This window comes from Homo sapiens, chromosome 7, assembly GCF_000001405.40.
Source record: "Homo sapiens chromosome 7, GRCh38.p14 Primary Assembly".
NCBI classification, from domain to species: Eukaryota; Metazoa; Chordata; class Mammalia; order Primates; family Hominidae; genus Homo; species Homo sapiens.
The window spans coordinates 92,181,621-92,207,242 of record NC_000007.14 but is presented as its reverse complement, the minus strand read 5'-3'; the positions used below and the strand labels follow the sequence as shown (position 1 = coordinate 92,207,242).

The following is a 25,622-nucleotide window of genomic DNA, read 5'->3' as shown; positions in this document are numbered from 1 at the left end:
ATCCTCTTGTTGTCTTTGAGTTTTGACAGTTTGACTATAACATGCCTTGGGAAAGACCTTTTTAGGTTAGATCTGCTTGGGTATCTTTGAGCTTCCTGTATCTTGATGTCTGCATCTCTTACAAGACTTAGGGAGTTTTCAGCTATTATTTCTTCAAGTAGGTTTTCTTTGACTTTCTCCATTTCTTCTCCCTCTAAAATCTCAGAATTCAAATGTTTGGTCACTTTATGGTGTCCCCACATGTCACATTGGCTTTCTTCATTCTTTTTTATTTCTTGATTTCTTTCTTTTTTTTTTTTTTTTTGTCTGCCTGGGTTAAGATACCTTCGGGTTTACAAATTCTTTATTCTGCTTGATCTAGTCTATTGTTGAAGCTCTCAGTTGTGCTTTTTATTTCATTTATTGAGTTCTTCCATTCCAGGATTATGTACTTTTGTTATCTTATATGTCTTAAGTCACACTGAGTTTCTTTAATGTCATTTTGATTTTTTTGTTAGGCATTTCAAAATTTGGGGGGAGCATCTGTTACTGAAGAATTATTGTTTTCCTTTGAAGGTGTCATGTTTTCTTGCTTTTCAATGTTTTTTGTATCGTTATATTTATATCTGTACATCTGATGTCACTTCTTCCTATTTTATGCATTGGCTTTTGTAGGGAAAGACTTTTTCCTGTAGATGTAGCTATAGTGTTGGTTGGATAGGGTGCTTTGGCTTTGATTCTGGGTGAGTGCAGTAGTATAGTCTCCCTGTGATTTCTTCAGCTTTAATGAGCATTAGCGGTGTCTGAGAGTCCCTCAGTGGCTTAGACTGTGGTTGTTAATGAAGGCTGTAGTAGGCTTTTCTGGGGACTGTGACTCCAGGTAGACCAGTGCTCAGGCACTAGTAGTTGTGCCAGTAGGCAGGGCATGCCTTTCCTCAGGCCCCTAGATAGTACATGTGGGCGCCAGCAGGCATAGGCAGAGCATAACAGTACTTAAGGCCCCAGATGAAATGCACAGGCACCAACAGCAGGCAGAACAGGCCTGTCGTCAGGCCCTCTGATGGTGTATGCAGGCAATGGCAGCAGCGTGCTAGTTGAGTCAGTCCTCAGGCCCTTAGATGGCATGCTTAGGCACAGTTGACAGTGGCAGTGGGCAGAGCAGGCTTGTCCTTAGGACCCTAGATAATGTGTGCTGGTGGCAGTGGTGGGCAGGGCAGGCTTCTCTCCAAGCCCACCTCTGGAGTTTGCAGGTGCTGGTGGCAGGCAGGTGGGTTGACCTCCTGGCACTATGTGCACAGGTGACAGCAGCAGTAGGTGGGTTAGACCCTTTTCAATCCCACTTTAGAGCTCTTCAGTTAGAAGTTAGTTTATGGTGCTCCTTTTTCTAACCGTAAGTCATTATAAAATACAGGTTTATCAGTTATTTTTTGGCATATTTAACACATTTAAATGGGATGAACAGCTTTTTAGTTTATAATAGGAAGCTAATAAAAATCAAATCTAATTTGTTTCATTTTGTTTTGTTTTTTGAGACAGAGTCTTGCTCTGTCACCCAGGCTGGACGCAGTGGTGTGATCTTGGCTCACTACAACCTCTGCCTCCTAGGTTCAAGCAGTCCTCCCGCTTTAGCCTCTCAAGTAGCTGGGATTACAAGCATGAACCACCAAGCCCACCTAATTTTTGTGTTTTTCATAGGGGGGTTTCACCATGTTTGCCAGGCTGGTCTCGAACTTCTGACCTCAAGTGATCCACCTGCCTCGTAATTTGTTAATTAAGATTTGTTAAGAATAGACCAAATCAGTTAAAGTAATAATGAAGCTTATGCATTTTTAAAAGGCATTTAGATTAGGAAATTTCACTGTAAACCCAGTTTTTATTTTCCTCATTTTTATGTGTCTTTTTTGTTGTTGTTGTTGTTGAGATGAGTTTCGCTTTTGTTGCCCAGGCTGCAGTGCAATGGCGTGATCTTGGCTCACTGCAACCTCTGCCTCCGGGGTTCAAGCGATTCTCCTGCCTCAGCCTCCCAACTAGATGGGATTATAGGCATGTGCCACCACACCTGGCTGATTTTGCATTTTTAGTAGAGAGGGGGTTTCTCCATGTTGGTCAGGCCAGTCTCGAACACCTGACCTCAGGTGATCCGACTGCCTCGCCCTCCCAAAGTGCTGGGATTACAGGTATGAGCCACCGTGCTCGCCCCTTTATGTGTCTTGATAGGTCTTTATAATCACATAACTCCTGAAATATCCCAGTCATAGTTTAGTCATTTTATATTAATTTTCAGGGTTATCTTTAAGGGCAACAGTTACTTTGATAGATACACACGTGAATGGAGATAAAATATCTAGGAACATAGGGTGGAATAGAGTCTGATTTTAGTAATGACCTGGAGCTTAATTTCTTGAAGTCTCTTCTAGCAGGGGTCCCCAACACCCAGGCCATGGACTGGTACCGGTCCATGGCCTGTAAGGAACCGGGCCGCACAGCAGATGAGCAGCAAGCAAAGCTTCATCTGTATTTACAGCACTCCCTATCACTTGCATTACCATCTGAGCTCTGCCTCCTGTCAGATCAACGGTGGCATTAGATTCTTATAGGAACATGAACCCTCTTTTGAATTGCACATGCAAGGGATCTAGGTTTCATGCCCCTTATGAGAATGTAATGCCTGATGATCTGTCACTGCCTCCCATCACCCCCAGATGGGACCATCTAGTTGCAGGAAAACAAGCTCAGGGCTCCCAGTGATTTTACATTGTGGTGAGTTGTATAATTATTTCGTTACATATTACAATATAATAGTAATAGAAATAAAGTGCACTATAAATAAAATGGGCTTGAATCATCCCAAAACCATCCCTGACACCCCTGTCTGTGGAAGAATTGTCTGCCACGAAACCGATCCCTGGCACCAAAAAGGTTGGGCACTGCTCTCTTGCGGTCACCTTGCTTTTGGGTCATTTGCTTATCATTTTCTTTTTCTTTCCTTTTTTTTTTTTCCTTGGGACACAGTCTCACTCTTTTGCCCAGGCTGGAGTGCAGCGGCACCATCATAGCTCAGTGCAGCTGCAAACTCCTAGGCTCAGGCAGTCCTCCTGCCTCAGCCTCCCAAGTAGTTGGGACTACAGGCATATGCCACCACACCCAGCTAATTTTTTTATTATTTGTAGAGATAGGATCTCACTTTGTTGCCCAGGCTGGTCTCAAACTCCTGGTCTGGGCAACAAAGTGAGACCTTATCTCTACAAGGTGATTCTCCCACCTTAGCCTCACAAAGTGCTGGGATTGCAGGTGTGAGCCACCACACCATCCTCATTTTCTGTTAAAACTATTTTGCCCACACAAAATAGGCTGCTGTTTATTAGCTTGTAACCACTTTTCTATTTCTCTTGTACTAAGTTCATTAAAGGAAATGAAGGAGAAATGCCCCCCACCATTTCAAGAAATTTTTCCTCTGCTGTTTCAGAGCATTTTATACCAACATCTGCAAATCATTCTTCATAGAACTGGATGGTGATGCTGTGCCATTTCTCTAAACTATATTTTATGTTTGTTAGCTTTCCAATTTTTGGCAATAATACAAAGTTTTATATAGTATTCAAATGAAGGTTTAGTGATATTATTTAACACTTAAATATAACATTTCATATTATGTATAATACTTTGATCCAGGATTCAAATAAATGAGTTAGCAGTAACAGACAGAAGGATGACAATAATATTCTTAATTAACAGTCTGCTTTTTCCTTAGATAAGAGGTTCAGTTTCTTGAACTATAAATAGAAATGCTATCCTTGGGTATCTAAACAGGTGATTGAACCAAAGAGTAAAGGTATTTTCTATCCATCTAGTCATTACCTTGTTCTCTGTAAACCACTGATAAATTTATGGCACCTTTGAAAGCTTTAAGATAGTTGCATATTTCAGCCGTCAAATGTGGGAACAACCAGCTTGTCCTCAGTTGTCTTAGATTCACCAAGGTCTACTAGGATTGCATTCAACAAGCTTAGCAAAAACATAGCAAACACCTTCATCTGCAAAAATACCTTCATTTGCATTTAAAACACTACATGGGATACATTAGTGTCAGAGATAGGAAAAGCCATGGGACACAGTTGTGTTTTTTGTGTCAGTTGTTTCTACCTTCTATAACTACAGGCTCAGTACTTTTGTTGGAAATTTGACTTCTATAATTGAGAAGTAACTATACTACAGTTGTATTTTTTTCTGTATATTGAACTGTTTTGAAGCCATATTAATGGACTGTTTTGTGGCTTTTGAATAAAGAAATTTCAGGTGATTGATTTAAAAGAGAAGGCAGTTTAAGGTAGTATGATATCTTGACTCTGTTCAGTCTGTACCTTGATAAGTAGCTATTTTAGTATATCCTCCTATGTATAAGGTTATATTTTACAATATAAATGTAGATAGCCATTTTTAAAAGATACTATTAGTTTTTCCTTATACTTAATGTATACTCACATAAATTACCTGTGTTTCATTCACAGAACCTCACTTTATTTATTTTATTTATTTATTTAGACGGAGTCTCACTGTTGCCCAGGCAGGAGTGCAGTAGCGTGACCTCGGGTCACTGCAACCTCCGCCTCCCAGACAGAACCTCACTTTAAAAATCCCCTAACCCATTATCTTTCTGGCACATTCTTAGTTTAGTATTTGTGGTCAATATTATAAGAATTGGTATTTATAGAAACTGAATGCTTCTAAACATATGTATCTTAAAAATGCCATGAACACTTTCTTTGTTTATATGTACACAAATAATACATGTTTAGGGCAAGAAAATGGAAGTTACTGCTAGAAGAGAATTGTTATTAACAAGGATATATTGAATGTCTGCTTATATACAGTATTATATTAGGAAAGTGTAGGAATCATTAATACTGCTTTATAAATAGTTCTGTTGTTGGCTGGTCCATGTGCAGTAGTGTTTACAACTCTTTGATCACAATCAATTACAGTTCTTCTCCACTCCCACTGCTTCACTTGACTATCCTTAAAAAAATAGCTCTGATGAATTTATGAAAGGTATGTTAGTAATTTTTTAAATTATGCTTACTTTTATAATAAATATATCAGTGTACTTATTTTCAGTGGGATGAGATTGTTGAAGTAAACATGTTAACCCAGTTGCATAAACTACAATCTGAAAGTACTATGTAAATATTCAAAAGAAAGATACTGAATAAAGAGATAGCTTTTAACCTGCAGAAAGAAAATAAAGGTAGTACCTTTCATTATCCTGAAAGCCATGGATAGAATTGACATCTTTAAAAATGTTTGTCAATCTTATATGACAAATATTGCTCACAGCACTCTCCTGAGAGTCTACCAATCTATGTGATTCTGTGCTGCAGGCTGTGTGAGGTTAGTGCGGGGTGCTTTGAAAAGGCTTCATTAAAACATTCTTGGAAACTATCATTCTCAGCAAACTATCACAAGAACAGAAAACCAAACACCGCATGTTCTCACTCATAAGTGGGAGTTGAACAATGAGGAATACTTGGACGCAGGGAGGGGAACATCACACTCCGGGGTCTCTCAGGGGGTAGGGGGCTAGGGGAGGGATAGCATTAGGAGAAATATCTAATGTAGGTGACGGGTTGATGGGTGCAGCAAACCACCATGGCATGTGTATGTCTATGTAACAAAACTGCACATTCTGCACGTGTACCCCAGAACTTAAAGTATAATAATTTTTAGAAAAAGCATTCTGAACTATTATATTTAGAGCAGACAACATAAATGTAGATAGTAAGAGAAAATAGGTGAAGTTTTTAATATGTATTTCAATATAGTTGTTTCCAATTATGTTGCAGGCTTTACTCATCAGTCTTAAGTATGGTTGTTTTATGTGGCAATTGGGAGATACTGATACTTGTTTTCAGATCCATAGCATGGAAAATAAAATGAGCTTTATAGTACATACAAAACAGGTAAGTATCATTTATTTTGGACTTCATAAACTATTGTGTTAGTAAAGTTACTTCTTTTTTTAAAAAAGTGACATCCATTTAACTTCAAGGAAAACCTGTAATATTTCATGAAATTAAAATATTTAAGACCAAGGAATAAAGCCAGGCCTTCTAAGCAAGGAAAAATCAGAAACTTACCTGAATAGTTTATTTCACTTTTATAACAAACTCTTTTGCCATGTCTTTTCATTCTGGTCAGTATTACCTGTCTCATCTATCAAGTTATTAGGTAGTCCTTCCCTGTCCTTGACCTACCTGTGCCCCCTAGCTGTATCCAGCAGATTGATTCTTAAGTCACTTCAAAAAGCCTGAGTAAATATCCCCCTCTATACTCTCTCTTAACAAGCTGTCTCCTGATAAGAAAGTTCCCTTTCAAATAGATAGGGAACTGCCCAATGTCATGAATGTCCTTTAAAGATTCTTACATGTTTTATATTTATTATTGACATGTTTTACTTTGTAGGCTGGTCTCGTGGTAAAACTGTTAATGAAGCTAAATGGACAGTTAATGCCCACTGAAAGAAATTCATGAAAGAGAAGTAACTGTTACTCAAGCCACCACATTTTGTAATGCAGAGTTTTTTTTCCGTGAAAGATTTCTTAAAATATTACTTTTGGCCGAGCATGGTGGCTCACCCCTGTAATTCCAGCACTTTGGGAGGCTGGGGCAGGCGGATCACCTGAAGTCAGAGTTCAAGACCAGCCTGGCCAACATGGTGAAACCCTGTCTCTACAAAAATACAAAAATTAGCTGGGTGTGGTGGCGGGCGCCTATAATCCTAGCTACTAGGGAGGCCAAGGTGGGAGATCGCTTAAACCCAGGAGGTGGAGGTTGTAGTGAGCCAAGATTGCACCACGGCACGCTAGCCTGGGTGACACAGCAAGACTCCATCTCAAAAAAAAAAAAAAATTACTTTCAACAAGGCATATAGTCTCTTGTAATATATATGTATACTATTACATTGTACAGAATCTGTACTTATGTTTGGTGTGTAATATACCAATTAGTTTTATATAATATCCTCATAAGCTATTCTAATTTTTGAGAGAAACACAAAAAGTTATAGATTGATAGTCTGTATAATATTAGACAAAATAGTAAGCTTTATAAAAAGTTATTTTTGGTAAATGGTAAGGAATTTGGGGTGGAATGTGATGAGATTAAAATGTAGCTTTGGTATAACTTCATGTGTATTTCAAAATATACTGAACGTCAACATGATTTGAATAAAGAAAATGTATTTTCTACTTGAACCACATAACACTGTTATTTAAAACAGTTTTCTGCAGTCTATAAACATTTCTCAACATTTTTTTAAAAGTCTTAGTTAAAATGTAAATCTGATATACAGTAGTGTTTCTCAAAGTATAGTTCATGAACTCCTTGCATCATAATTACCTAGATGCCTCTTAAAAATGAAGATTTCAGAGACCCATTCTAAACAAGGGCATTCACTCTCTGGAAGTAGCATGGCCTTGTGAACTTAAATTTGGTTTTGTTTTTTCTTTTTTGCTGTTAGAATAATTTCAGACCCAATAAGGAATTTCGATTATTAAAGTTGAGAAATTTCACAAAACTGCCTGGCACACAAGCACACACATACATAGACACATTTTAAGTGATAATCTCTTGATATTAGAAGTTGCATTTGTTAAATACATGCTGTATTTTTTATGAGTTGACTTAATAGTTTATGTATATTGACTTTGCTTTGTAGGAAGTAAATCACCAGATATCTTATTGTTTCATTTAGGAAAGTAGTGATATAGATGAAGAGCCAACTTGATGAATGTGCTATTCATAAGCTAGAAACTACAGTTTTTCCAAACTAATAAACTGATGAATTCTAAATAAGTTCAGAGATATAGTCATATTTAAAGTTGTCCTACAGTTTGCAGATAATTTTTATATTACTATTCTTCACATTAACTTCTGCTTATTTTTAATGGTACTATATGTAGGCCTTATTAAAATTAAGATTGTATGGTTAAGTAAAGTTAACAAGAAAGCCTGATTTATCTTTAATTCTGTGCTAGGTACTTTTGATTCTACATGAACAATACCCTTTTCAGTTCCCTTCATTCTAATGTCCTCAACTGTTACCAAATACCCTGTTGACTCCCAAACCTAAGATTTTAGCCTCAACTTCTTTTCTGAACTTCAAATCTTAATTTCCAAGTTATACTTGTTCTAGGTCCATCTAAATGGTCTACAGAGAACTTCAGTTGAATCATAGCTGGAAACAGAATTTATTTCCTCTATTTGCTTCATTCTGTCCTTCCACTATATTCCCTATTTGGTTAATGACATCATCGAACTGCATTCAGTTGCTTAGCCTGGAAATACTGTTACGGTGTTCAGCCGTTCCCCAACTTACATATTTTGTGGATCAAAGTCCTGTCTGATGTTTTGGGAGTCCTTTCTCATTTCCTTCCTCCCTGCTTGCACTGCAGCCAGTCTAGTTCAAGTCCTCACCATCCATTCTTTAGCTTGTAGTAGCTTCCTACCCCTGACTCAGGCTCTGTACCCTTCCTGCCTATCTGCCACACTGATGCCAAGTTAAGCTTTCTCATCAGTCCGATTATTTCATTACACTGTGAAAATCATTAATGGTTACCACTATATGTAGAATTAAATTCCGAATTCTTTAGTATTGAAACCAAGGCCCTTAGTACACTGTTGCTAAGCTGCCTATCAAGATTATTGTCTAACCACTTCTCCCATACTCATTCTATGCTCCCACTGTTTCCTAACTCCTCAGTCATGTGGGGAAATTCAGTACTTTCTGATTCAGTAATTTTAGAGTGAGACCCAAGCATTTCTGTTCTTGAAGTATTCTGTGTACTTACTATGTACAGTTAGGAATTAGAACTGTAATTATAAGCAACTTTAGGAGATAGCCGAATGTGTTTCCTTTCACAGAGAGAGGTGAGGATGCAGTGATACCACATCAAACAACCTCCTGCTCTGTGGAATACAGTTTACCCTCCTGAAGATGTACAGTATAGCAGCCCTAATAAGAAAGGAATAGGAGACTATTAGAGTAGCATAGTTATTAAAGGCTTAAAAATATATAGCATTAAAAATTCAATTTTAAAAATTATTATTGAGAAAAAAATTGATCATTATCTTTCAGACCATAACAATCCAGAAATAAAAATAGGGAAATCTAAACAGCTTTTAATGAATGCCTGGTATTGATCAGGCATTATATGTGCTGTAGGGATCAAGATAAGATACCATTTTCCTTTCATCATTCTTTCAGTAAATTTGAGTGCCTTTTATGTGCCAGGGACCCAGTGGTAAGGAAAACAAAATCCCTGCTTTCAGAGAACAAAGTCTGAGGGAGACAATAAATTATCATGGATATATGTAATTGTAACTCTAATTACTGTGATGAAAGAAAAACATCTCAGCATTAACAGGGACCCTTGATCTAGTAGGGATCAGGAGAGGCTTTCCTGAGCAAGTGATGCTTGAGTTGGCATCTGACATGTGAGCAGGAATTAGTTATGTGAAGGCAGTACAGCTGGAAGGGAAATGAGGTGAGATGTTTTGACCCCAAAAGACAGACCTGGAGAACTGATGAGGGGATTTACAATTACTCATTTTCAGTTGTGATCCAAATTCAAGTAATTGTTTATCCAAATCACAACAAATTAATTTTCATTATACAAATAAAACCAGAATAGCTAATACTGCACATGATAAATGTATTAGAGAAAACTTACTGAAGAACCACAAGATTAAAAATTGCCAAAATTTAGCCAATGATGGGCAAAAAAAGAAAAAAAAATAAGAAAAAAGTTGCCAAAATTGACCCTAGAAAAATTAGACTTGATAGAAATATTCAACAAAGTAAAACTTTCCGGTTATTGACCAAACTTAATAGAGGAATTGCATTAATAAAATTTAGATTTTTTTATTTGATCCTGAGAAATCAATGGCAAAAACTCTAAAAGAATATTTATTGATTGATTGAATGATTGAGACAGAGTCTTGTTCTGTCGCCCAGGCTGGAGTGCGGTGGCATGATCTCAGCTCACTGCAACCTCCGCCCCACTGGGTTCAACCAATTATCCTGCCTCATCAGCCTCCTGAGTAGCTGGGATTACAGACGTGCGCCACCATGCCCAGCTAATTTTTGTATTTTTAGTAGAGACAGGGTTTCACCATGTTGGCCAGGCTGGCCTCAAACTCCTAACCTCAGGTGATCCACCTTCCTCGGCCTCCCATAGTGCTAGGATACAGGCATAAGCCACTGTGTCTGGCCCTCTAAAAGAATTTATATGTGCAAAAAACGGATTGGGGAATCAATTTGTTGCCTTATCATTAACATAGAAAACAATGCTCTCAGTGAAAATAATTTCTGTCAAAGCATAATTTGTTTTTGCTGCACTGTGTAGAAAACTGATTAAGACACTTAATTGGCTTGAGGCTGGACATGGTTACTCACGCTGTAATCCCAGCGCTTTGGAAGGCCAAAGTGGGAGAATCACTTGAGGCCAGGAGTTCAAGACCACACCAGCCTAGGCAACATAGCAAGATCTCCATCTCTACAAAAATAAAAAATAGCCAGGAGTGGTGGTGTACATCTGTAGTCCCAGCTACTCAGGAGGCTGAGGTGGGAGGATTTCTTGGGCACAGGGGTTTGTGGCTGCAGTGAGCTATAATTGCACCATTGTTCTCCAGGCTGCGTGACTGAGCAAGCCCCCGACTCTAGGTAGGTAGGTTGGTAGGTAGATGATAGATTAGGTAGACTTGCATGCATGCAAGGATTAGATGATAGACCAGATAGGCTTGAATGCGTGTGAGAATAGATGGATAGAGACACAGAGAGAGATAGGATTGAGTGCATGCAAGAAAATATTTTCTCACCAAAAATCCATCTATGATGGTATGATTCTCATTTGATGTTTGTATTCATAAGCACGTCAGAAAACCTCTAGAATTATTTATGGTGTTTGGAGAGGGAGACATAGGCAGACTGTAAAGGCCCTAAAGCAGAAGCATCAAGCTTTTGGGGATCTTCGAGGCCAGAGTATTTAAGACAAAGAATATCTTTCAGACATCTTAGGGTGTAGATGAGAAAAACAGTTTCAATACATTGTGCTAATTTCTGTGATAAAAGGAAGTACCAGGTTGTTCAGGATTCATTGGAAGGGCACCCACATGGGTGGGAAATTAGGAACTTATGTCCCCATTATTTAAATTATAATAATAGCTACTACTTTAAGTGACACTTACTACACTATTGGCATTATTTGAAGCACTTTTGGGATATTAATTCATTTATTCCTGACAACAATCACTATGAGGCAGATACTATTATTCCCATTTTACAGATAAGAAAATTGAAGTTGGTTTAAATTACTTTCCAAACCAATGAGTGGTGGAGCTCAGATTCATACCTCGGCAGCCAAACTCCAGAGTATAAGTCAGTCAGATACATCATGTATGGTTATAATAAAAACATAAAATAATACTTGTTTTCTATCTTTAAAATCTTAGGAGCCATAGTTTCTAACAGAGTGATGTAAATGTTTTCATTTTTGTATATTGTATAACTTTGAACACAGTTGTATACAGAGAGGCTATGTTATTTGTGTAAGGTCAAAAACTAGTAAGTTGGGGTGTCAGAATTCAACATCTGGCAGTCTGGCTTCTGAATTCAGACATTTGTCAGGTAAAGGAGATATAGGTGGAGTGGTTAAACAAAAATGATCAAGTTTTGAAGGGTGTTGTGTTTCCTGTTTATGAGGAGCCATTGGAGCCCTTAGGACTTGATTAGCTCAGATGTGTGTGTTGAAAGATCACCCTGGGTCAATGTACAGAAGGGCTTAAAGAGGTGGTTCTGAGCAAGAAGGTATAATGCAATCTGGACTTAAGCTAAGATAATGGCAATGGGAGAAAATATTTTGACAAAACCCAGTGACCTTTTAGATATGGGAAATAAGGAAGAGGTAGGAGTAATGAGTAATTATCCTCTTTCTGTCCTGGACATATGGGAAAATGGTACCATATACTGCCTAAAATAGGGAATAGGGGAGGAAGTTTTGAAGAAATGTTTTGAGTTCCTGGCTCCCAAGGGACACATAGATGGAGATGGTCAATAGACAATAGGGTTCCCAGGCCTGAAGTTCAAAAGGCTCTCAGGAGATGACAATTGAAACTCCACGAATAGATTTGAAGCCACCCAGGAAGAGAGCACAGTGAGAAGCAAGCAAAAGAATGACAACACTTGAGAAATGGGCAAACTTAGGACAATCCACAAAGCATCCTGTTAAGTGAATATCAGTATAGAAAAGAAATAGCTTGGCACTATTCTCCATATGTGTATCCAATAGATTTTATATGGGCAAAATTTAAATATTAAAATAACATTTAATATTGCTAGGGAAAAGCAGACCAGCATATTTTAGTGTCAGAGCACATTCGCTTATGGATGTTTCTTAAATGCGTATGAGGGATAGGTGAATAAAATGCTTTTTAAATGTACATGAACAAACATCAAAAGCAAAGCAAAAGAATGAGGACCTGGAGCTCATACATGGCTAGTAGGAATGCAAAATGGAACAACCATTTTGGAAAACAGTTTCGTTTCTTGTAAGTTAAATATACTATAGGACCCGGCATTCCACTCCCAATTATTTATCTAAGCAGCTAAAACTTATATTCACACAATTCATATGCAAATGTTTGTAGAATACATCTTTAATTTTTTCATAATTAAACTGGGAGCAACCCAAATATCCTTCACTGAGTGAATGAATAAACTCAGGTACATCCATATAATGGCATACCACTCAACAATGAAAAGAAACTATTGATGAACAACATGGATAAAGCTCAAATGCATTATGCTAACTGAAAGAAGCCAGACTCAAAAGGTTATACTGTATACCGTAACATTCCATTTGGATAACATTCTGGAAAAGGCAAAACTGTAGGACCAGAAAGCAGATAGTGGTTACCAAAGGTTAAGGATAGGTGTGGGGGGAATATGGGAATATAAAGGGGCAGCATGGAGAAATTTGGTGGTAGGGGAGAGGATGTTCTGATTATGATTGACATAGTATATTTGTCAAAATTCACAGAACTGATTATCAAAGGAAATTTTACTGGACAAATTTCAAAATACACTTAAAGAATCAGCACTTGCTAACCAAGTTCTGAAAATTCAAAACTATATTAAGTTTTTTTTGTTTTGTTTTGTTTTGTTTTTTTGAGACAGAGTTTCACTCTTGTTGCCCAGGCTGGAGTGCAATGGCACGATCTCGGCTCACTGCAACCTCTGCTTCCCGGGTTTAAGTGATTCCCCTGCCTCAGCCTCCAAAGTAGCTGGGATTACAGGCATGGGCCACCATGCCCAGCTACTTTTTGTATTTTTAGGAGAGACAGGGTTTCACCATGTTGGTCAGCCTGGTCTCGAACTCCTGACCTCAGGTGATCCACCCACCTCGGCCTCCCAAAGTGCTGGAATTACAGGCATGAGCTACCTTGCCCAGCCAAAAATTAAGATTTAACTAGAAATATGTCTGTACCCAAAATCCATTTAGTGAGTGGTCAAAGAAGATTAACAGAGAAGTTGTATGCTTGGAAATGCAAATGAATTTTAGAAATGGGGAAATATAAATTTTCCTAACAAAAATGTAAAACAGAAGCTTATTAAATTAGTTAAAATTATATGGAATAATAAAAACTGATTATGTTAATAAAATTGAATGATAGCACAAGACTGAGACAACATATGGGAATATATTTTGGCCAGCCCTGGAAAGCAGTCTCAAAAATGTTTTTGTTTTTGAGAGAGTCTCACTCCGTCACCCAGGCTGGAGTGCCGTGGCACTATCTCGGCTCACTGCAACTTTCACCTCCCGGATTCCAGTGATCCTCCCATCTCAGCCTCCCTAGTAGCTGGAATTACAACCGAGCACCACCACATCTGGCTAATTTTTGTATTTTTATTAGAGGCAGGGTTTCACAGTGTTGGCCAGGCTGGTCTCAAACTCCTTGCCTCAAGTGATCTGCCCACCTCAGCCTCCCAAAGTGCTGGGATTACAAGTGTGAACTGCTGCGCCCAGCCTCAAAAATGTTTACTCCCATTCTTTTGATGATCCCACATTGAGGACCACCTGAGAATGAGCTTGCTGCCCCCACTTTCTCATTTGCTGTGCTTTACTGATATTTTTCCCTACTTGCCTAGGGAGTAAATTGTATGCATTACAATTCAGCAAGGAAAAAATGACAGTTTTCTAACAGCGCCCTAAAAAATGGAACAAAATTGTGTAGTTTAAAATAATATAGCTGGATGCAGTGGCTCATGCCCATTATACCAGCACTTTGGGAGGCTGAGGCTGGCAGATCACATGAGACCAGGAGTTTGAGACCATCCTGGCTAACATGGTGAAACCCCTTTTCTATTAAAAATACACAAATTAGCTGGGCATAGTGGTGCACATCTGTAATCCCAACTACTCATGAGGCTGAGGCATAAGAATCACATGAACCTGGGAGGCAGAGGTTGCAGTGAGCCAAGATCATGCCACTGCACTCCAGCCTGGGTGACAGAATGAGACTCTGTTTCAATAATAGTAATAATATATCCTGCCAAACTAAGCTTCATAAGCGAAGGAGAAATAAAATCTTTTCCAGACAAGCAAGCACAAAGGGCATTCTTTACCACTATACCAGCCTTACCAGAGATCCTCAAGGGAGTTCTAAACATGGAAGTGAAAGAACAATGCATGCTACCGAAAAACACATTTAAGTACATAGCCCATAGACCTATTAAGCAACTACACAATAGAAACTACAGAGCAACCTGCTAACAGCTTTGCAATAGGATCAAAACCACATGTAACAATATTAACCTGGAATGCAAATGGTCTAAACACCCCCACTTAAAAGTCCGCAGAATGAGGCTGGGCACAGTGGCTCATGCCTTGTAATCCCAGCACTTTGGGAGGTGGGTGGATCACCTGAGGTCAGGAGTTTGAGACCAGCCTGGCCAACATGGTGAACCCCATCTCTACTAAAAATACAAAAATTACCTGGGTGTGGTGGCGTGCACCTGTTATCTCAGCTGCTTGGGAGGCTGAGGCAGGAGAATCTCTTGAACCTGGGAGGCAGAGGTTGTGGTGAGCCAAGATCACGCTACTGCACTCCAGCCTGAGCGACAGAGCAAAACTCTGTCTCAAAAAAAAAAAAAAAAAAAAAGTTATCGACTGGCAAGTTGGATTAAAAAAACAAGACCCATCCATCTGCTGTCTTCAAGAGACCCATCTCAAACATGACGACACCCATAGGCTCAAAGTAAAAGGTTGGAGAAAGATCTGTCACACAAACAGAAAACAAAAAAGAACAGAGGTCACTATTTTTATATCAGATAAAAGACTAAACCAACTACAGTGAAAAAGGACGAAGAAGGGCACTACATAATGGCAAAGTGTTCAGTTCAACAACAAGACTGAACTATTGTAAATACATACACACCCAACATTTGAGCACCCAGGTTCATAAAACAAGTACTTCTAGACCTACAAAAAGACTTAGTCACACAATAATAGTGGGGGACTTCACCCCATTGAGAGTGCTGGACAGATCATCAAGGCAGAAAACAAAGAAATTCTGGACTTAAATTCAACACTTAGACCTACTAGATATCTACAGAGTAATTCACCCATCAACCACAGAATACATATTTTTCTCATGTGGACATGGAACATACTCCAGGGTCAACCAAATGCTCAACTGTAAAGCAAGTCTCAATAAATTCAAAAAAGTTAAAATTATACTAAACCATACTCTCAGATCACAGTGGAATAAAAATAGAAATCACTACCAAGAAGATCTCTCAATACCATATGACAACATGGAAATAAAACAACTTGCTCTTGAATGATTTTGGGTAAACGACAAATTTTTAAAATCTTTGAAATAAATGAAAACAAAGACACAACGTGCCAAAATCTCTGGGATGCAGCCAAAACAGTGTTAATAGGAAATTTTATAGCACAAAACACCTACCTCCAGAAGTTAGAAAGATCTCAAATTAACCATCTAACATTACAGATAGAGGAACAAGAAAAACAACAAATGAACCCCAAAGCTAGCAGAAGAGAAGAAATAACTAAAATCAGAGCCAAATGGAATGAAATTGAGACCCAAAAATCCATACAGAGAATCAATGAAAAACAAACAATTTTTTTATCTTTTCAAAAAAAATGTTTTTTGAAAGATGAAACAAGATTGGTAGACTGTTAGCTATATTAACAAAGAAAAAGAAGATCTAAATAAACGCAGTCAGAAATGACAAAGATGGCATTACAACCATTCCCACAGAAATACAAAAGGTCCTCAGGGACTATTATTAAATCTCTATGCACACAATTTAGGAAATCTAGAGGAAATGGCTAAGTTCCAGGAAACACAATTTCCTAAGATTGAATCAGGAAGAAATTGAAACCCTGAACACACCAGTATCGAGTTCCAAAATTGAATCAGTAATTTTTAAAAAATCTAAAAAAGCCCCAAACCAGATGGATTCGCAGCTGAATTCTACCAGACATAAACAAAGAAGAGCTAGTACCAATTCTACTGAAACTATTCTTTAAAAAAAATGAGGAAGAGAGATTCCTCCCTAACTCATTCTACAAAGCCAGCATTAGCTTGATATCAAAACCTGACAAAGACAATGAGAGAAACTACAGGCCAATATCCCTGATGAACATAGACACAAAAATCCTCAGCAAAAATAGCAAATCGAATCCAGCATCCCATTCAAAAATTAATTCACCATGATCACAGGCTTCATTCCTGGGATGCAAGGTTGGTTCAGCATACAGAAATCAGTAAATGGGATTCACCACATAAACATAACAAACAATTAAAAACCATACGATCATATCAACAGATGCAGAAAAAGCTTTTGATAAAATCCAACATCTTTTCATGATAACCCTCCAGAAACTAGGCTTCAAAGGAACATACCTCAAAATAAGAGCCATCTATGACAAACCCACAGCCAACATCATACTGAATGGGCAAAAACTGGAAGCATGCCCAGTGAGAACTGGAACAAAACTGATGCCCACTCTCACCACTCCTATTCAACACAGAACTAGAAGTCCTAGCCAGAGTAATCAGGCAAGAGAAAGAAAAAGCATCCAAATATAAAAAGAAGTCAAACTTTCTTTGCTGATGATATGATTCCATACCTAGAAAACGCTGAAAACTCCGCCAAAAGGCTTCTGGAACTGATAACTTCAATAATGTTTCAGGATACAAAAATCAATGTACAAAAATCAGTAGCATTTCTATACACCAAAAATGTTAAAGCTGAGAACCAAATCAAGAACATAATCTCGAGGATATGAGGGGGGTCCTGAGCCAAGATGGCCGAACAGGAACAGCTCCGGTCTACAGCTGCCAGCGTGAGCGATGCAGAAGACGGGTGATTTCTGCATTTCCATCTGAGGTACTGGGTTCATCTCACTAGGGAGTGCCAGACACTGGGCGCAGGACAGTGGGTGCAGCACACTGTGCGCGAGCCAAAGCAGGGCGAGGCATTGCCTCATTTGGGAAGTGCAAGGGGTCAGGGAGTTCCCTTTCCTAGTCAAAGAAAGGGGTGACAGACGGCACCTGGAAAATCGGGTCTCTCCCACCCTAATACTGCGCTTTTCCAACGGGCTTAAAAAAACGGTGCACCAGGAGATTATATCCCGCACATGGCTCAGAGGGTCCTTCACCCACAGAGTCTCGCTGATTGCTAGCACAGCAGTCTGAGATCAAACTGCAAGGCGGCAGCGAGGCTTGGGGAGGGGCGCCCGCCGTTGCCCAGGCTTGCTTAGGTAAACAAAGCAGCCGGGAAACTCGAACTGGGTGGAGCCCACCACAGCTCAAGGAGGCCTGCCTGCCTCTGTAGGCTCCACCTCTGCGGGCAGGGCACAGACAAAAAGACAGCAGTAACCTCTGCAGAGTTAAATGTCCCTGTCTGACAGCTTTGAAGAGAGCAGTGGTTCTCCCAGCACGCAGCTGGAGATCTGAGAACGGGCAGACTGCCTCCTCAAGTGGGTCCCTGAACCCTGACCCCTGAGCAGCCTAACTGGGAGACACCCCCCAGTAGGGGCAACCTGACACCTCACAAGGCCGGGTACTCCTCTGAGACAAAACTTCCAGTGGAATGATCAGACGGCAGCATTCGCGGTTCATGAAAATCCGCTGTTCTGCAGCCACCACTGCTGTTACCCAGGCAAACGGTCTGGAGTGGACCTCTAGCAGACTCCAACAGACCTGCAACTGAGGGTCTTGTCTGTTAGAAGGAAAACTAACAAACAGAAAGGACATCCACACCAAAAACCCATCTGTACATCACCATCATCAAAGACCAAAAGTAGATAAAACCACAAAGATAGGGAAAAAACAGCAGAAAAACTGGAAACTGTAAAAAGCAGAGCGCCTCTCCTCCTCCAAAGAAACGCAGTTCCTCACCAGCAACGGAACAAAGCTGGATGGAGAATGACTTTGGCGAGTTGAGAGAAGAAGGCTTCGGACGATCAAACTACTCCAAGCTAGAGGAGGAAATTCAAACCAAAGGCAAAGAAGTTGAAAACTTTGAAAAAAATTTAGACGAACGTATAACTAGAATCAACAATACAGAGAAGTGCTTAAAGGAGCTGATGGAGCTGAAAGCCAAGGCTAAGGACTACGTGAAGAATGCAGAACCCTCAGGAGCTGACGCGATCAACTGGAAGAAAGGGTATCAGTGATGGAAGATGAAATGAATGAAATGAAGCGAGAAGGGAAGTTTAGAGAAAAAAGAATAAAAAGAAACGAACAAAGCCTCCAAGAAATATGGGACTATGTGAAAAGACGAAATCTACATCTGATTGGTGTACCTGAAAGTGACGGGGAGAATGGAACCAAGTTGGAAAACAGTCTGCAGGATATTATCCAGAACTTCCCCAATCTAGCAAGGCAGGCCAACATTCAGATTCAGGAAATACAGAGAACGCCACAAAGATACTCCTCGAGAAGAGCAACTCCAAGACACATAATTGTCAGATTCACCAAAGTTGAAATGAAGGAAAAAATGTTAAGGGCAGCCAGAGAGAAAGGTCGGGTTACCCACAAAGGGAAGCCCATCAGACTAACAGCGGATCTCTCGGCAGAAACTACAAGCCAGAAGAGAGTGGGGGCCAATATTCAACATTCTTAAAGAAAAGAATTTTCAACCCAGAATTTCATATCCAGCCAAACTAAGCTTCATAAGTGAAGGAGAAATAAAATCCTTTACAGACAAGCAAATGCTGAGAGATTTTGTCACCACCAGGCCTGCCTTAAAAGAGCTCCTGAAGAAAGCACTAAACATGGAAAGGAAAAACCAGTACCAGCCACTGCAAAATCATGCCAAATTGTAAAGACCATTGAGGCTAGGAAGAAACTGCATCAACTAACTAGCAAAATAACCAGCTAACATCAAAATGACAGGATCAAATTCACACATAACAATATTAACTTTAAATGTAAATGGAGTAAATGCTCCAATTAAAAGACACAGACTGGCAAATTGGATAAAGAGTCAGGACCCATAAGTGTGCTGTATTCAGGAAACCCATCTCACGGGCAGAGACACCCATAGGCTCAAAATAAAAGGATGGAGGAAGATCTACCAAGCAAATGGAAAACAAAAGAAGGCAGGGGTTGCAATCCTGGTCTCTGATAAAACAGACTTTAAACCAACAAAGATCAAAAGAGACAAGGCCATTACATAATGGTAAAGGGATGAATTCAACAAGAAGAGCTAACTATCCTAAATATATATGCACCCAATACTGGAGCACCCGGATTCATAAAGCAAGTCCTGAGTGACCTACAAAGAGACTTAGACTCCCACACAATAATAATGGGAGACTTTAACACCCCACTGTCAACATTAGACAGATCAACGAGACAGAAAGTTAACAAGGATACCCAGGAATTGAACTCAGCTCTGCACCAAGCGGACCTAATAGACATCTACAGAACTCTCCACCCCAAATCAACAGAATATACATTTTTTTCAGCACCGCACCACACCTATTCCAAAATTGACCACATACTTGGAAGTAAAGCTCTCCTCAGCAAATGTAAAAGAACAGAAATTATAACAAACTATCTCTCAGACCACAGTGCAATCAAACTAGAACTCAGGATTCAGAAACTCACTCAAAACCGCTCAACTACATGGAAACTGAACAACCTGCTCCTGAATGACTACTGGGTACATAATGAAATGAAGGCAGAAATAAAGATGTTCTTTGAAACCAATGAGAACAAAGACACAACATACCAGAATCTCTGGGACACATTCAAAGCAGTGTGTAGAGGGAAATTTATAGCACTAAATACCCACAAGAGAAAGCAGGAAAGATCCAAAATTGACACCCTAACATCACAATTAAAAGAACTAGAAAAGCAAGAGCAAACACATTCAAAAACTAGCAGAAGGCAAGAAATAACTAAAATCAGAGCAGAACTGAAGGAAATAGAGACACAAAAAAGCCTTCAAAAAATTAATGAATCCAGGAGCTGGTTTTTTTGAAAGGATCAACAAAATTGATAGACCACTAGCAAGACTAATAAAGAAGAAAAGAGAGAAGAATCAAATAGACACAATAAAAAATGATAAAGGGGATATCACCACCGATCCCACAGAAATACAAACTACCATCAGAGAATACTACAAACACCTCTACGTAAATAAACTAGAAAATCTAGAAGAAATGGATAAATTCCTGGACACATACACCTCCCAAGACTAAACCAGGAAGAAGTTGAATCTCTGAATAGACCAATAACAGGCTCTGAAATTGTGGCAATAATCAATAGCTTACCAACCAAAAAGAGTCCAGGACCAGATGGATTCACAGCCAAATTCTACCAGAGGTACAAGGAGGAACTGGTACCATTCCTTCTGAAACTATTCCAATCAATAGAAAAAGAGGGAATCCTCCCTAACTCATTTTATGAGGCCAGCATCATCCTGATACCAAAGCCAGGGAGAGACACAACCAAAAAGAATTTTAGACCAATATCCTTGATGAACATTGATGCAAAAATCCTCAATAAAATACTGGCAAACCGAATCCAGCAGCACATCAAAAAGCTTATCCACCATGATCAAGTGGGCTTCATCCCTGGGATGCAAGGCTGGTTCAATATATGCAAATCAATAAATGTAATCCAGCATATAAACAGAACCAAAGACAAAAACCACATGGTTATCTCAATAGATGCAGAAAAGGCCTTTGACAAAATTCAACAACCTTTCATGCTAAAAACTCTCAATAAATTCGGTATTGATGGGATGTATCTCAAAATAATAAGAGCTATCTATGACAAACCCACAGCCAATATCATACTGAATGGGCAAAAACTGGAAGCATTCCCTTTGAAAACTGGCACAAGACAGGGATGCCCTCTCTCACCACTCCTATTCAACATAGTGTTGGAAGTTCTGGCCAGGGCAATCAGGCAGGAGAAGGAAATAAAGGGTATTCAATTAGGAAAAGAGGAAGTCAAATTGTCCCTGTTTGCAGATGACATGATTGTATATCTAGAAAACCCCATTGTCTCAGCCCAAAATCTCCTTAAGCTGATAAGCAACTTCAGCAAAGTCTCAGGATACAAAATCAATGTACAAAAATCACAAGCATTCTTATACTCCAATAACAGACAAACAGAGAGCCAAATCATGAGTGAACTCCCATTCACAATTGCTTCAAGAGAATAAAATACCTAGGAATCCAACTTACAAGGGACCTGAAGGACCCCTTCAAGGAGAACTACAAACCACTGCTCAAGGAAATAAAAGAGGATACAAATAAATGGAAGAATATTCCATGCTCATGGGTAGGAAGAATCAATATCGTGAAAATGGCCATACTGCCCAAGGTAATTTATAGATTCAATGCCATCCCCATCAAGCTACCAATGACTTTCTTCACAGAACTGGAGAAAGACTACCTTAAAGTTCATATGGAACCAAAAAAGAGCCCGCGTTGCCAAGTCAATCTTAAGCCAAAAGAACAAAGCTGGAGGCATCACGCTACCTGACTTCAAACTATACTACAAGGCTACAGTAACCAAAACAGCATGGTACTGGTACCAAAACAGAGATATAGATCAATGGAACAGAACAGAGCCCTCAGAAATAATGCCACATATCTACAACTATCTGATCTTTGACAAACCTGAGAAAAACAAGCAATGGGGAAAGGATTCCCTATTTAATAAATGGTGCTGGGAAAACTGGCTAGCCATATGTAGAAAGCTGAAACTGGATCCCTTCCTTACACCTTATACAAAAAGTAATTCAAGATGGATTAAAGACTTAAACGTTAGACCTAAAACCATTAAAAACCCTAGAAGAAAACCTAGGCATTACCATTCAGGACATAGGCATGGGCAAGGACTTCATGTCTAAAACACCAAAAGCAATGGCAACAAAAGCCAAAATTGACAAATGGGATCTAATTAAACTAAAGAGCTTCTGCACAGCAAAAGAAAGTACCATCAGAGTGAACAGGCAACCTACACAATGGGAGAAAATTTTTGCAACCTACTCATCTGACAAAGGGCTAATATCCAGAATCTACAATGAACTCAAACAAATTTACAAGAAAAAAACAACCCCATCAAAAAGTGGGTGAAGGACATGAACAGACACTTCTCAAAAGAAGACATTTATGCAGCCAAAAAACACATGAAAAAATGCTTACCATCCCTGGTCATCAGAGAAATGCAAATCAAAACCACAATGAGATACCATCTCACACCAGTTAGAATGGCAGTCATTCAGGAAACAACAGGTGCTGGAGAGGATGTGGAGAAATAGGAACACTTTTACACTGCTGGTGGGACTGTAAACTAGTTCAACCATTGTGGAAGTCAGTGTGGCGATTCCTCAGGGATCTAGAACTAGAAATACAATTTGACCCAGCCATCCCATTACTGGCTGTATACCCAAAGGACTATAAATCATGCTGCTATAAAGACACATGCACACGTATGTTTATTGTGGCACTATTCACAATAGCAAAGACTTGGAACCAACCCAAATGTCCAACAATGATAGACTGGATTAAGAAAATGTGGCACATATACACCATGGAATAGTATGCAGCCATAAAAAAGGATGAGTTCATGTCCTTTGTAGGGACATGGATGAAATTGGAAATCATCATTCTCAGTAAACTATCGCAAGGAGAAAAAACCAAACACCGCATGTTCTCACTCATAGGTGGGAATTGAACAATGAGAACACATGGACACAGGAAGGGGAACATCACACTCTGGGGACTGTTGTGGGGTGGGGGGAAGGGGGAGAGATAGCATTAGGAGATATACCTAATGCTAAATGACGAGTTAATGGGTGCAGCACACCAGCATGGCACATGTATACATATGTAACTAACCTGCACATTGTGCACATGTACCCTAAAACTTAAAGTATAATAATAATAAAATAAAATAAAAGAACATAATCTTACTTACAGTAGCCATAAACAAAAATAAAATACCTAGGAATGTATCTAATCAAAGAGGTGAAAGATCACTAGAAGGAGAACTATAAAACACGGCTGAAGGAAATCATAGATGATGTAAACAAATGGGAAAACATTCCATGCTCATGGATTGGAAGAATCAATATTGTTAAAATGGCCACACTGCCCAAAGCACTCGACAGACAATACTTTTTTTTTTTTTGAGTTGGAGTTTTGCTCTGTCACCCAGGCTGGAGTGCAGTGGCACAATCTCAGCTCACTGCAACCTCCGCCTCCTGGGTTCAAGTAATTCCCCTGCCTCAGCCTCCCGAGTAGCTGTGATTACAGGCCCATGCCACCACACTCAGCTAATTTTTGTATTTTTAATAGAAACGGGGTTTCACCATGTGGGCCAGGCTGATCTCAAACTCCTGACCTCAGGTGAGCCATCCACCTTGGCCTCCCAAAGTGCTGGGATTACAGGTGTGACCCACCATGCCTGGCCCAGATTGAACACTATTTCTATCAAGCTACTAATATGGTTTTTCACAGGACTAGAAAAAAACATTCTAAAATTTATATGCAACCAAAAAAGAGCCCTAATAGCCAAAGCAGTTTTAATCAAAAAGAACAAAGCTAGAGGATCACACTACCTGAATTCAAATTATAAGGCTACAGTAACCAAAAGAGCATGGTACTGGTACAAAAGCAGACACATAGACGGATGGAATTGAATAGAGAACCCAGAAATAAATCCACACACCTACAGCTATCAAATCTTCAACAAAGTTGACAAAAATAAGCATTGGGACAAGAACTCCCTACTCAATAAATGGTGCTGTGATAGTTGACTAGCCATATGTAGAAGAATGATACTTGATCCGTACTAGCAGCATATACAAAAATTAATTCAACATGGATTAAAGATTTAAATATAAGACCTCAAACTGTAAGAGTCCTAGAAGAAAACCTAGGAAACACAATTCTGGACGTCAGCCTTTGGAAATAATTTATGACTAGGTCCTCAAAAGCAATTGAAACAAAACTAAAAATTGACAAGTGGAACCTAGTTAAACTAAAAAACTACACAGCAAAAGAAACTATCAACAGAGTAAACAGCTTACAGAATGGGAGAAAATATTTGCAAACTATGCATCTGACAAAAGTCTAAAATTCTAAAGAATCTATACAGAACTTAATTGAGCAAGCAAAAAAAAAAACCCTATTAAAAATGAGCAAAAGACATGAACAGATCTTATCAAAAGAAAACACACAAGCGGCCAACAAACATGAAAAAATGTTCAACATCAATAATAATCAGAGAAACGCAAATCAAAAACACAATGAGATACCACCTCACACCAGTCAGAATGACTATTACTAAAAAGTGAAAAAATAGATGCTGGCAAAGCTTTGGAGAAAAGGAAATGCTTATACACTGTGAGTGGGACTGTAAATTAGTTCAGCCACAGTAGAAAGCAGTTTGGAGACTTCTCAAAGAACTTAGAACTACCTTTTCATCATTAATCCCATCACTTGGTATATATCCAAAAGAAAATAAATTATTCTCCCAAAAGACAAATACTCCTGTATGTTCATCACAGTACTATTCACAATAGCAAAGACATGAAATCAACCTAGGTGCCCATCAACGGTGGATTTGATAAAGGAAATGTGGTATATACACACTATAGAATACTACACAGCCACAAAAAAGAATGAAACGATGTCCTTTGCAACAACGTGCATGCAACTGGAGGCCACTATCCTAAGTGAATTAGTTCAGGAACAGAAAACCAAATACCGCAAGCCCTCACTTATAAGTGAGAGCTAAACACTGGGTACTTATGGACATAAAGATGGCAAAAACAGACGCTGGGGACTACTGGAGGTGGGAGGGAGGGATGGGGGTAAGGGTTGAAAAACGTTTGGGTACTATGCTCAGTACCTGGATGATGGGATCAATCATACCCCAAACCTCAGCATCATGCAATATGCCCATGTAACAAATGTGCACATGTCCCTGAATTAAAAATAAAATTTGTAATTATTTTTAAAATTAAAAAAACCCAAGGCAATTGTTTTTAAAACATGTCTCCCCTAGAGCATACCAAATGC

At 39.1% G+C, this 25,622-nt stretch overlaps 1 protein-coding gene and 1 non-coding gene across 35 annotated transcripts in view; both read left to right on the top strand.

Annotated features, from left to right (window-relative positions):
• The window catches only part of KRIT1 (KRIT1 ankyrin repeat containing), a 47,132-nt gene extending 38,858 nt beyond the window's left edge, over positions 1 to 8,274 (top strand). For 33 of the 34 annotated variants that reach the window (NM_001350672.1, NM_001350676.1, NM_001350673.1 and 30 more), the window contains 2 exons: positions 5,820 to 5,936; positions 6,439 to 8,274. In NM_001350672.1, coding sequence (NP_001337601.1) covers positions 5,820 to 5,936; positions 6,439 to 6,507 — 186 coding nt within the window. In that variant the 3' untranslated portion in view covers positions 6,508 to 8,274. The remainder of the gene's footprint in view (positions 1 to 5,819; positions 5,937 to 6,438) is intronic. The other variant, NM_194454.3, reaches the window with a different exon arrangement.
• On the top strand, positions 3,145 to 3,228 carry MIR1285-1 (microRNA 1285-1). The gene has a single exon (NR_031616.1). It is a non-coding gene; the product is annotated as a microRNA 1285-1 (primary transcript).